The sequence below is a fragment of the Homo sapiens genome, chromosome 9 (genome assembly GCF_000001405.40).
Source record: "Homo sapiens chromosome 9, GRCh38.p14 Primary Assembly".
In the NCBI taxonomy this organism is placed as follows: Eukaryota; Metazoa; Chordata; class Mammalia; order Primates; family Hominidae; genus Homo; species Homo sapiens.
Genome location: NC_000009.12, coordinates 37,110,712 through 37,122,956, shown reverse-complemented (window position 1 = coordinate 37,122,956; position 12,245 = coordinate 37,110,712). Strand labels below are relative to the sequence as shown.

Here is a 12,245-nt window from a genome sequence, read left to right as displayed (position 1 = left end):
AATTTCTTTTTTTCCCCCTTGAGACGGAGTCTCGTTCTGTCCCCCAGGTGAGAGTGCAGTGGCGCAATCTCGGCTCACTGCAACCTCCTCCTCCTGGGTTCAAGAAATTCTCCTGCCTCCGCCTCCCAAGTAGCTGGGATTACAGGCACGCGCCACCACGCCTGGGTAATTTTTGTATTCTTAGCAGAGACGGGTTTCACCATGTTGGCCAGGCTGGTCTCGAACTCCTGACCTCGTGATCCGCCCCACTCGGACTCCCAAAGTGCCTGGATTACAGGCGTGAGCCACCGCACATGGCCCAAAATAAAATTTTCAAATAAGTTAACTTCAAATTAAGATTTTTTGAAGAAAAACCTTCCTTCATTGCAATATTTGCATTGGTTCTAACACCTAAATTTACCTCACAAATATCCATTTTATGTCCCAGCAGAGTTTAAAAACTAAATGAGACATTTTAGGTGTAAGGAAAACACACGTTTGTCAGTTTGCCATTTAAGAATCTCCCAAGTTGGTACTCAAAAACTATCAATCCCATGACCAGAAAAGATGTTTCCTATATAACATCTTAAAATATCATGCAAATGAAACTTATCTAAGAATTAAAATACCTTAACAAATATAAAACAGCTATAGAATAACTGCAAAGGCTATTACCATTCAAAAGAGGGAGCAGTATTCATTGACTGAATTGTTTTAAACTAGACAACTTAAGGCTTATTTAAGCTTTCAGCATTTACTTAACACAGTCTTTAATCAATCCTTCTGCTCTCACAGTCTACCTACTGGTCATTCTGACCTTTTGCTCTTATTTACTTCCAAATATCTTTAGCCTCCCTAGATGTTCCTTCTTGATGACACACGCATCCATCTCCGGCCGATTTAAATCAAATCCACAGCCTCATTTTCAGTCCAATTTTCATTGGAATGTGATGAATACACTTTACTTTCAAAGTAAAATTTTTCTTACTCTTAGTAAGCTGCCCTGACAGGACAGTTGAAACACAATTGTCTAAAGGGTTAAAATGTCTGTCCATTTTTCAAATGCGATGGCCACTCTGAATCAAATCTGATTGGGATGGAGAATCCAAATGTGTAAAACAAAAGTCACAAAAGACAAACAGAGCACAGTATTTCAGTGGGGGAAAAAAAATAAGCTAAATTTAGTCACTTAAGTCCCAGCTCTTCTTGGGATATATATATGATTTTTACGAGAACTAATCCTATCCGGAAACATTTCCTTCACCTTTCCCTTAGCCCTTTTCCTTCGGTCATGCAGTCTCTTACCGTGCTAATTATCATATTAATATAATCCTCACTTGCGATCCTTCCTGACTTTATTCCCCATGCTCAGATTCTCCTGAAAGCATAACGCTTTCCTAAGTATACACACAATCCATTTAAAAGTCTTTGTATGCGACAGCCTAACTATTCAAACACGAAGTCATTTCTCTAACGGTCCTAGAAAAAATTTTAAAAAGAAAAAGAAAACCACAAAGTCAAGAGCTTCTGAGGGGACCTGAAAAGTCATCAAATTGAACGCTCTCGTTTTATAGTTGGAGAAAGGAGCTCAGAGAAACTTATTCACTGAGCTAAAAAGGCCCTACTAATGCAGCCCGTAATTCAACTGTGCAATCTGAAATAATCTTAAATTCAGCTTCAATAAGAGCTTTCTGGAATCGCCAGCGAATCCGTGGGGGAGCCACGGCTAGAACCCAGGCCTCCTGATTCCCAGCCACAGCTTTTCCACCGAACCAGCAGCTCTTCCCAAAAGTTGAAGGCAACTGTCCGCTCACAGGATGGGAGGGATAAAGGGCGCCTTAGTAAACACAGTCCAAGTCTACTCGTTTTACATGAGGAAAGGGTCACAGCTCCCGAAATTTTGGATTCTACTGCTGCAGCTGCTGCTTCTGACAGCAGAGGCGGGAGGTGGCCCAGGACTACTCGGTCCTCAAAGACTGGACTCTCTCTCGGCGCGCCGGGACCTCCGCGCTTCACTGACTGGCTTCCCTAGAAGACTGGGGGCCTTGCGGGGAAATAAAAAGGGCAGACACGCCACCCTCACCGAGGCCCTAGACGCCCAGCCGCTCTAGAATCACGGCATTAGCCCTTGGAAAGCCAGGGAGACGCGGACCCCCTAGACCCGCAGCCCGGCCGCGTGGGGCGGCGCGCAGGTGACGGACCAGGAGCTGCGCCCTGCCACGAGTGAGGGGCGGACGGGAGACGTCGAGGCCGGCGAGGGGGCACGCGCTAGTTCCACAGCCCGGCGGGCAAGAAGGAGGGTAGGCAGGGGTCCCGAGCCGCGGGCGGCGGGGGTCCGTCACACACATACTCACTGCCGCAGCTGCGAACAGGAAGCACCAACCGGGAACCAAAACGCGTAGAGGGACGGGGAGGGGCGAGGACAAATGAGGTAAGGAGGCCGCGTCCGCGCAGACCCGGGAGGGAAGGCACTTCCGGGGACAACACAGCTCTAGTCACCGCCTTTCCGTCCCCGCCCACCTGCCGCGCCTGATGTGCGCATGCGTAGTGGGTGCGAACCGTTCTCTGCCCCGCCCATAATTATTAGGTTTGCCTTCCTTGCTTTCCCCCTTCCCCTTCCCAACTTCTCTTGAAGCTACCTAGGCTGCATCTATTATTTGAATGACTCGTACGAAGGAGATGCTATTTACCGGGCAAAAGCCGGGGAGTTCGTGCCCTCTACCCCCGCGAGGAAAACTACAACCCCCATGAGGACACGGGCGAGGTTGAGGCCGGGCTCCGCCTCCTTCTCCCTGGCGCTCGGTGGACGCCTTCTCAGTGCCACGTGGCGCGGGAGCCTAGCTGATCGCGTGCATGACGAGGGCCAGCGTGGCTGGCTGCTTGGCCCGCAGACCTGGGCAGCGGGAAACGCGTACTTGAGAGCGCATGGCTTCAAGCTTCTCCCTTGCGCTCATGATCTTAGGCTGGTCGCTTTTTCTTTTAGGCGGAACACAGTTCACACTGGGCGCCTCCAACTCTCTGGAATTCTAGGCAACAGATTAACACTTTGTGAATCTCGAAGAGCTGCACTCCTGCTAAATATTGGAGTTAATGCTGATCCTTTGGAAGTCTCTGAAGGTTGCAAGATTGTGCTGGGAGCCTCTGGCTTCATTTGCCCTTCTCACACCTTATTTTAATACAAGGTAAACCCATCTGTAGAACTTTAGAAATAACTGTCGACCTAAAGGAAAAACTGAGGCAAAGTTAATATAAGTGGAGAATTTATTTGGGCCAAGTTTGATGAGGGCAACCTGGGATCATCAATTCAAGTTGCCCTTAATATGTGATCCGATAAGCAGCAGTTTCAACTGAGTTCTTTGTCTTGTGAAGCTCCAGGCTTAAAGGTATCGATCCTCCCACCTCTGTCTCCCAAAGCACTGGGATCACAGGCATGAGCCATTACACTTCTTGTAGCAGCTACGAGTGAATTTTTTTCTTTCTTTATGGTTTTTTTTTTTTTTTTTTTTTTTTTTTTCCTGAGACGGAGTTTCGCAGTTGTTGCCCAGGCTGGAGTGCAATGGCGCGGTCTCGGCTCACTGCAACCTCCGCCTCCCAGATTCAAGCCATCCTCCTGCCTCAGCCTCCGAAGTAGCTGGGATTACAGGCGCCTGCCACCACGCCCAGCTAATTTTTGTATTTTTAGTAGAGTCGGGGTTTCACCATGTTGGCCAGGCTGGTCTCGAACTCCTGGCCTCGACCTGCCAAAGTGCTGGGATTAGAGGCGTGAGCCACCGCGCCCGGCCACGAGTGAATTTTTAAAGGAAAAAAGAAGAGGCTTTTGCTAAACTACATACCAAGAATTGACACTAAAATAACATAAGCTATCCATTGGCTACACATTGTTCTTTCTATCACAAATTTTAGGAACACGAAGATAAAGGGTGATGCAGGTACTGGGAAGAAAAGAACAAAATGCCTTTAAACAATTGCCACACACCCCTACCCCCCACCCCCACCCCCACCACCACCTACATGGGATGGTGCTAACTGAAGTACCATACTCAAGTCCCTCTGGGCCTGATAAAGTTTGAATGCCTGCCTGGCTAATGGGGTAGCTCTCACCTGTTTGGGAGCCCGAAGTGGGAGGATAGCTTAAGGCCGAGAATTCGAAACCAGCCGGGGTAATATAGCAAGACGCTGTCTCTACAAAAAAATTTAAAAATTTAAAAATTAACTGGGCGACTGGGCGCAGTGGCTCACGCCTGTAATCCCAGCACTTTGGGAGGCCGAGGCGGGCGGATCACCTGAGGTCAGGAGTTGGAGACCAGCCTGACCAACATGGCGAAACCCCGTCTCTAGTAAAAATACAAAATTAGCCGGGCGTGATGGCGCATGCCTGTAATCCTAGCCACTCCTGAGGTTAAGGCAGGAGAATCGCTTTAACCCGGCAGGCGGAGGTTGCAGTGAGCCGAGATTGCGCCATTGCACTCCACCCTGGGCAGCAAGAGAGAAACTCCGTGTCAAAAAAATAATAATAATAACAGGGCGTGGTGGCCCACACCTGGAGTCCCAGCTGTTCCTGGCTGAGGTTTGAACTGCGGAGGTCTAGGCTGCAGTGAGCCGAGATCGCACCATTGCACTCCAGAATGAGACCGTCTGAACAAAAATGTTTAAAGCTCAAGCAAGGTGCCTCATGGCTGTAATCCCAGCACTTTGGGAGGTTGAGGCAGGTGGATCGCTTGAGCTCAGGAGTTGGAGACCAGCCTGGGCAACATAAGAAGACCCCATCTATATTTAAAATAAGATCCTTTTCTTAATTAAAAAATTATATAAAAATAAATTTAAAAAAACAAATCTTTTTATAAAAATAAAAATAAATAAGAAATTTTAAATAGTAAAAATTAGCCAGGCGTGGTGGCACACAACTGTATTCCTAGCTACTAAGGAGGCCAAGGTGAGAAGATTGCTTGAGCCTGAGAGTTCAAGGTCATAGTGAGCTGTGATCACACCACTGCACTCCAGCCTGGATGAGAGACCCCATATCTTTAATTTTTAAAAAAATTATTTTTGCATACCTTTAACGTAACTTAGACTGCTCTGAACTATTTTTCTCCTCTCATAATGACACACTGCCAATTCATTGGCCTATTTCAATTCTCCTCAAGACAAGTGTGAGTTTGATTGTTTTCACCAACGTTTATTGAACATCTATCTGTTAAAAGACGGTGTTAGAAAGTGCAGAAAAGCTGTAAATTTTTAAGTCACTGATCTCATAGAGATAGGCATCTAGCTAGGAAAACAGTTATAGTCTAGGAGTTTGGCCAGAAAAGAATTAGAACATTTAATTAACATTATGGGGTAAGTGCTGGGAAGGAGAAGGACAAGGTACTATGAAAAGGTAAAATTGGAGAACCACTTTCCAGAAAAGAAAACAGGCATAGAAGCACATCACAGATGACTAGATTGTTTGTTTTGGTAATATGTATTGTGTAAAACAAATGTCACCTTTTTAAAAATTTAAAAATATATTGCCAGGATTACTCCTGTCCATCTATTATAATATTTTAAATTTCGACAACACTTTGTGGATTTTTTTTTTTTTTTTGAGAAAGGGTCTTGCTCTGTCACCCAGGCTGGAGTGCAGTGGTGTAATCACAGCTCACTGAAACCTATCTCCCAAATGATGCTCCCGCATTAACCTCCCAAGTAGCTGGGACTAAAGGCACACACCACCATGCTGAGTTAATTATTTTTTTAATTTTTAAAACTTTTTTGTAGAGATAGGGTCTCCCCGTATTGCCCAGGCTGGTCTCCAGCTTCTGGGCTCCAGGCCTCAAGTGATCCCCCCACCTCAGCCTCCCAAAGTCCTAGGATTACAGGCATGAGACACTCAGCCCCACCAATACTTTCAAGTTGATGTTTTAAGTTCCAATTTCACACACACAAAAAAAGAAAAGAGGCGTAGAAAGGCTAAGTAAAACTTATAGAAGGCCACAAGTATAGGAAATAATAGTTATGTGCTTCATAATGACATTCCACTCAAAACCAGACTGCATATATGATGATTATTTTATCATATTTTTACTGTACCTCTTCCATGTTTAGATGCACAAATACTTATTGTGTTATAGTCACCTACAGTATTCAGTACAGTAACATGTAGCAGTTTGTAATCTGGGAGCAATAGGCTACATCATGTGGCCTAGGTGTTTACTTGACTATACCATCTAGGTTTGTGTAAATATGCTCGATGAAGTTTGCACAATGAAAAAATCACCTAACAATGCACTTCTCAAAACTTATCCCCATCATTAAATGACACGACTGTACTCCTAATTACCATGTCCCATCTTCCCACTGTCACACATGCATTCAACAAAGATTTACTGCTTTCCCATGCTCAGAATGCTTCAGCCTACCCCTTTAGTTTATGTCTTCAAACCTAGAGTCCTTTGGATGGCATAAAAGGCACTTCATGAGCTGACATCTGCCTACTGTTGACGCTGAATCCTGGGCAGTTGCCAGAACACACCATGCCCTCCCACACCTGTGCCTTTGCAGAGAACACTCCACTGCCTGTAAAGCCCTTCTCCCTGTCCTTCTAACATATACCCACTCACCCTACTCTGCTGAAGTTTTGGGTCTTCAGGGAAACTTTCCACCTTAGCCTCTCTCCACATACACAGCATTTCTCTTTCTAATTGAAGCTGTCTCTACTCCCCATTTCTCCTTTTTATTTTATTTTATTTTTTTTTTGACGCAGGGTCTCACTCTGTCACTCAGGCTGGAGTGCAGTGGTGTAAACACAGCTCACTGGAGCCTCAACCTCCTGGGCTCAAGAGATCCTCCCACCTGAGCCTCCCAAGAAGCTGGGACTACAGGCGTGCATCACCACACTGCACCTGGCTAATTTAAAACTATATACATTTTGTAGAGATGGGATCTCGCCATGTTGACCAGGCTGGTCTTGAACTGTCTCAAGCAGTCCTCCCGCCTCAGTGTGAACCACAGTGCTCAGCCCCTACTTCTTGAAATCATGGGTGACAGCATGCACAAATATCCTGAAGTCTTTCTTACAGAGTATCTTCTAAAGAGACCAACGTTTATTTTATTTATTTATTTATTTATTTATTTATTTATTTATTTGAGATGGAGTCTCACTCTATCACCCAGGCTGGAGAGCAGTGGCGCGATCTCGGCTCACTGCAAACTCCTCCGCCTCCCGGGTTCACGCCATTCTCCTGCCTCAGCCTCCTGAGTAGCTAGGACTACAGGCACCCGCCACAACGCCCAGCTTATTTTTTTGTATTTTTAGTAGAGACAGGGTTTCACTGTGTTAGCCAGGATGGTCTCGATCTCCTGACCTCGTGATCCACCCGCCTCTGCCTCCCAAAGTGCTGGCATTACGGGCGTGAGCCACCACGCCCTGCCTAGACCAACATTTATTTGAGAAGGGAAGCACCTGTTCTTCCCACGAAAGTGGCAGTAGGACATCAACAGTGCACAGCTGAATTGGGATGAGGGGCCAAGACAAAGCAGAAATCTGCTGCAGAGAGCAGGAAAGATAAAGGATATTCTGCAGCAGGATCTGGGCAAGTGGCACTCATCCATATCCTTTGCATTGCAAAGAGAGGAGCTACTTCCTTCCTTTTTATTTTCCAGTTTATTGGTGGCTCTTAGAACCTCTGAGAACTAACTGATTTTGACCTCTTAACAGTTGCCTTTCAACTACCATTCATCCACTGCAAGCCTACTGTGTAACAGGCCCTTTTTAGCCATTTCAGATATTATTGTCTCTTGCCCAGCTTCAAGTGACTCTCTTAGGGAGGGATTAGCCTCACCTCACTAGTATGGAAATGGAGACTTGGAGTAATCAAGTGACTTGCTCTGAATTACACAGCTGGGAAGTGGTGAAGCTGGAATTCAACTCAAGTTATGTCTAGATCTAAAACTCATGCTCTTTTCTATGCTCAAAGCTGCATTTCAAAATTGAACTTTAGCATGGAGTCTATGATGACTGGCTCATGTCTCTCCACCCAGCACCTAGCCCAAGGCCAAGCACAGAGAAGGCTCACAGTGGACACTTTTGGAATGAGTAGATTTTGTATGGAATGGTTGGTAAATGAAGGCCTGGGCATGGTGTGAACAGTGTTATGGGACAGCAGAGGAGGGGGTGGTGGCTGATTAGGGGACATGGGGAAGCCTCTGCAGAGGAACAGAATTGAGTGAGGCCTGGAGAAATAAGTAGTCAGACAAAGACGGACAATTCAGCATTCTCACAGCAAAGACCACTAACAGGCAATTCACAGAACAAGAAACCCAAAGGCCGTGAATAGGTGCTCTGCATCACTAACAGTCAGAAAAATGCAAATTATCTCATGCACAGTAGATGAGAATACAAACTGGAAAAGTGTGTTAGGAGAGCTATTTAATAGCATCTATCGCTATTATGAGGTATGTTCTTAAATGTATGTACAAACATTGTGATAGAAAAAAATGGAAACAAATATTCATTAGTAGGGAACGATCTAAACAAGGACATACTTATACTATTAAAAAAAATGCCACTTTTGGCCTGGCACAGTGGCTCACACCTGTAATCCTAGCACTTTGGTAGGCTAAGGAAGGCAGACTTCTTGAGCCCAGAAGTTCCAGACCAGCCTGGGTAACATGGCGAAACCCTGTCTCAACAAAAATACAAAAATTAGCTGGGAATGGTGATATGCATCAGTAGTCCCAGCTACTCGGGAGGCTGAGGTGGGAGGATCACTTGAGCCCAGTAGGTGGAGACCAGCCTGGCCAACATGGCAAAACCCCCGTCTACTAAAAATACAGAAATTAGCCGTGCACGGTGGCACACGCCTGTAGACGCAGCTTCAACAAAAAGATATAGAAAGATTCACAAAGACATACAGTTCAGTGAAAAAAGGTACATTGCAGAGCAGTAGGTGTATTGTGAAATCTTTTTTTTATTTTTTTATTTTTTGTGACAGAGTCTCACTCTGTTGCCCAGGCTGGAGTGAAATGGCATGATCTCAGCTCACTGCAACCTCCACCTCCCCGGCTCAAGTGATTCTCCTGCCTCAGCTTCCCAAGTAGCAGGTACTACAGGCACCTGCAACCACGCCCAGTTAATTTTTGTATTTTTAGTAAAGACAGGGTTTCACCATGTTGGCCAGGCTGGTCTTGAACTCCTGGCCTCAAGTGATCCACCCACCCCAGCCACCCAAAGTGCTGGGATTACAGGCAGGAGCCACCGAACCCAGCCCATTTTTATGTTTTTAAAGGGTACCTGTGTGTCTGTATGTAGATATGTGTGTACATAGATACATAGACAAAATACTGCATGGATGCCAATTGTTAACAGTGGTTATTTACATCTTAGGAGGGGAGTGGGAGTAAGAGATTGAAGGACTTTCATCTAAACAAAAAAATGTGAGACATTATTCATTGAGAAAAACAGCATGTAACTTCTGTGGTATTCCCATCAAAAGTACATAACTTGAATATAAACATGAGAAAACTATCAAACACATATTGAGGGACATTCTACAAAATACTGGACTTATCTCTCCAAAACTGTCAGTGGCAGGAAATGCAAAGAAAGACCGAGGAGCTGTACCACATTAAAGGAACAATTGGCAACATCCAGATCTAGGTTAGAGGACAGCACTGCATTAACGTTATTTCCTCGATTTTTATATTTACATTATGTAGGAGAACGTCTTGGTTTTATTTTTCAGGTCGAGCACACTGAACTACCTGGAGTAAAGGGGCATCATGTCTGAAACTGATGCTTAAGTGGCTCAGAAAAAAAATTCTGGGAGCTAGAGGGAGAGAGAGACAGAGGAGTGTGGTAAAAAGTTATCATTTGGGGGGTCTGCGTAAAAGGTATATGAGGATTCTTTGTACGGATTTTGCAACTTTTCTCCCAGTCTGAAATTATGTCAAAATATAAAATTAAAAGGCAAAATTAAAAGAATGAGTGAGAGTTTACTAGGTAGAGAAGCAGAAGGATCTTCTGGTAAAGGAACAGGATAAGCAAAAGCATCACAAGTGTGCGAGTCTTCTGTGTTGACAAACAAGCCCTGACTCTGAATATCCAGGACTAGCATGGTGTGGGGAGACGGGGATTAGAGGGATAACGAGCAGCATAACCCACAAATGGACACATTTCCCTGCTACCTAAGATTAGAAGTAAAGACTTTAGGCCTACATTATACCCAGCCTCAAGAGTTGCAAGACATAACATGAGTTCTCATGGCGGCTCAGTCTTTGCATTGGCAGTGTCTCTTCATCCAGTGACTGTGTGGAACAATGGAAACCCGAGAATCATGGCTGAAAGGGACATCTAGTCCAACTCTCTCATTTTGCAGAAGGGACAACTAAGATGCAAAATGAAGAAGAGATTTGCAAGGTCCCAGCAAAGGTTAGTGTTAAAACTGGCCTCTAGTTCCCAGTCCATCATTCTTTCTGTTGCACCAAAGTCTAAATAATAAGGGAGAAGAAATAGAAGGCTAGCAAGGGAAATGACTGAATGTTAAAGTTTGGACGTTTTTTATTTGCCAAAATTACAAACTTAGTGTCTATACAATTTTAAAAGTAAACGATATAGATACCAATGTTATTGTAGAAACTGTCGTCACTGAAGCCAATAGCTTCCAACTGGTAAGTGATATTCAATTCAGGCTCCTAGGTCTGAAGCAGCAATCAAGGTGATTCTCAGGAATTCTCAATGACATTGGTACCCATCTGGATTTGTTGAAAAGTTTAACATCCTTTTGTATTATTCATGATTTTGCAGTTCTTCAAATTGCAAGATGATGGAGAGAGCACACAATTTTCAACCAGGCTATGAAATCGTTCTTGAAAATGTGGACATTCATAGAGATGGCTTTTAATTTTTCTTGGAGACTGCCTTTCCTTATGAAATAATGAAATTTAAAAATATGTATTATAAATTAAACTATATACTTACTATTCTCATTATAATAAAATCCTAGGGATAAGGAACTAGTATTGCAAGGGCACCATTCCCGTTTTTTATTATTATTCCTAGCTGGAATTTTATTCCTCAAGGCTTAGCTCTAAGTGACTATATAATGAATACTGACTGGCAAAACTATTGGGATTCTAATTTAAGAATCATCAGATTCTGCACAAGAAATCTTGAAGCATGTCATCAGTAACATGTGGAGAAGCTGTCTAAAAAGGCATGCCTTTCTTTTAAATGTCCATGAGCCCTGGATCCACAGATTATGAGACATGAAGGATCACGCATGCTCAAACAGGGCTTATTTAGGTGTCATCTATAGAGGGGCTGCTCTCTTCAGCTGCCCGTCCCGGACCCGGGAATTATGTCTACAGTTTTCAGTTTCCACATGTCTTTGCGGCAATGCTACCATGAATTATTTTACTTGGGACTTTAGATTAACCACAAAAGAAACTAATTGAAAATAACTAAGATCATTCTGTCATGTGAGCCACAGTTTACTACAGTCAACTTAAGCACAATTATATATGATAAACTATAGACGTGATGCTTTGTGTTTCAACCATTATTATCCATTGTTTCTTACTCAACTGGTGAAACCATTAGCAATATGGGGCTTTAAAAGGACTGTCTCTGTGATATCCTCTTCCTCTGCCTCCCTTCGGGATCTGATATTCTTCTGTGGTTGACTGACGAGTCTGCATATGGGTGTTGTATTTCTTTTATCAGACCTATTAATTGCAGAAGGTTCTGTCTCCCTATCCCCAATACCTCAAACTTCCTGTTTCCTGTACAGTCTTCAAAAACTCTATCTGCATGGCTCTAGCAATCCCTGTTCTTACTTGCTATGGACAGATCTGTTAAAATCCTGGAACTGCCATACAGTTTCTTCAGAATGTTTGATGTCTCCCTCCAGAGAATGGCTTTTTTCTCATTGTGCTATGCTGTTGCTCTCAGAACTTACCCCCTGGAACTTTCTCTTTTCTGTGCCTATGCTCAGCTGTGGGGGAATAATAAGAGAGGTTTTATTCCTATTTATTATCATGTATGATAGGAATAATAAGAAGGAATAATGAGAATAATGATAGGAATAATGAGAATCGCTTGAATCTGGGAGGCAGAGGTTGCAGTGAGCCAAGATCACGCCACTGTACTCCAGCCTGGGTGACAGAGTGAGACTCTGTCTCCAAAAAAAAAAAAAAGAAAAGAAATCATACATATGTAACCTTCTATGTCTGGCTACTTTCACATAACACAAAAATTTTTGAGGTTCATCCATTGTGGCACATATCAG

The 12,245-nt window shown here is 44.0% G+C and overlaps 1 protein-coding gene and 1 long non-coding RNA gene across 19 annotated transcripts in view, besides 1 other annotated feature; one reads left to right on the top strand and one right to left on the bottom strand.

The window, feature by feature from the left end:
* Positions 1 to 2,790, bottom strand: part of ZCCHC7 (zinc finger CCHC-type containing 7) — a 237,983-nt gene extending 235,193 nt beyond the window's left edge. For 4 of the 18 annotated variants that reach the window (NM_001289119.2, XM_047423957.1, XM_047423959.1 and 1 more), the window contains exon 1: positions 2,330 to 2,383. The gene's annotated coding sequence lies outside the window, so the exon portion shown is untranslated. Of the gene's footprint in view, positions 1 to 1,284; positions 2,486 to 2,669 lie in introns of those variants that run through there. The other 14 variants (NR_110317.1, XM_011518050.3, XM_017015199.3 and 11 more) reach the window with 7 other exon arrangements.
* LOC105376034 (uncharacterized) lies at positions 2,557 to 10,971 on the top strand. The gene is made up of 3 exons (NR_188580.1): positions 2,557 to 3,161; positions 9,702 to 10,387; positions 10,763 to 10,971. It is a non-coding gene; the product is annotated as an uncharacterized LOC105376034 (long non-coding RNA).
* Positions 2,642 to 2,721: an enhancer, noted in NCBI's record as "active region_28378". NCBI's record gives its function as "activates an Ori minimal core promoter by ATAC-STARR-seq in GM12878 lymphoblastoid cells {active_cell/tissue: GM12878}" and the evidence as "EXISTENCE:reporter gene assay evidence [ECO:0000049][PMID:35858748]".
* Positions 10,972 to 12,245: the final 1,274 nt, after the last annotated feature.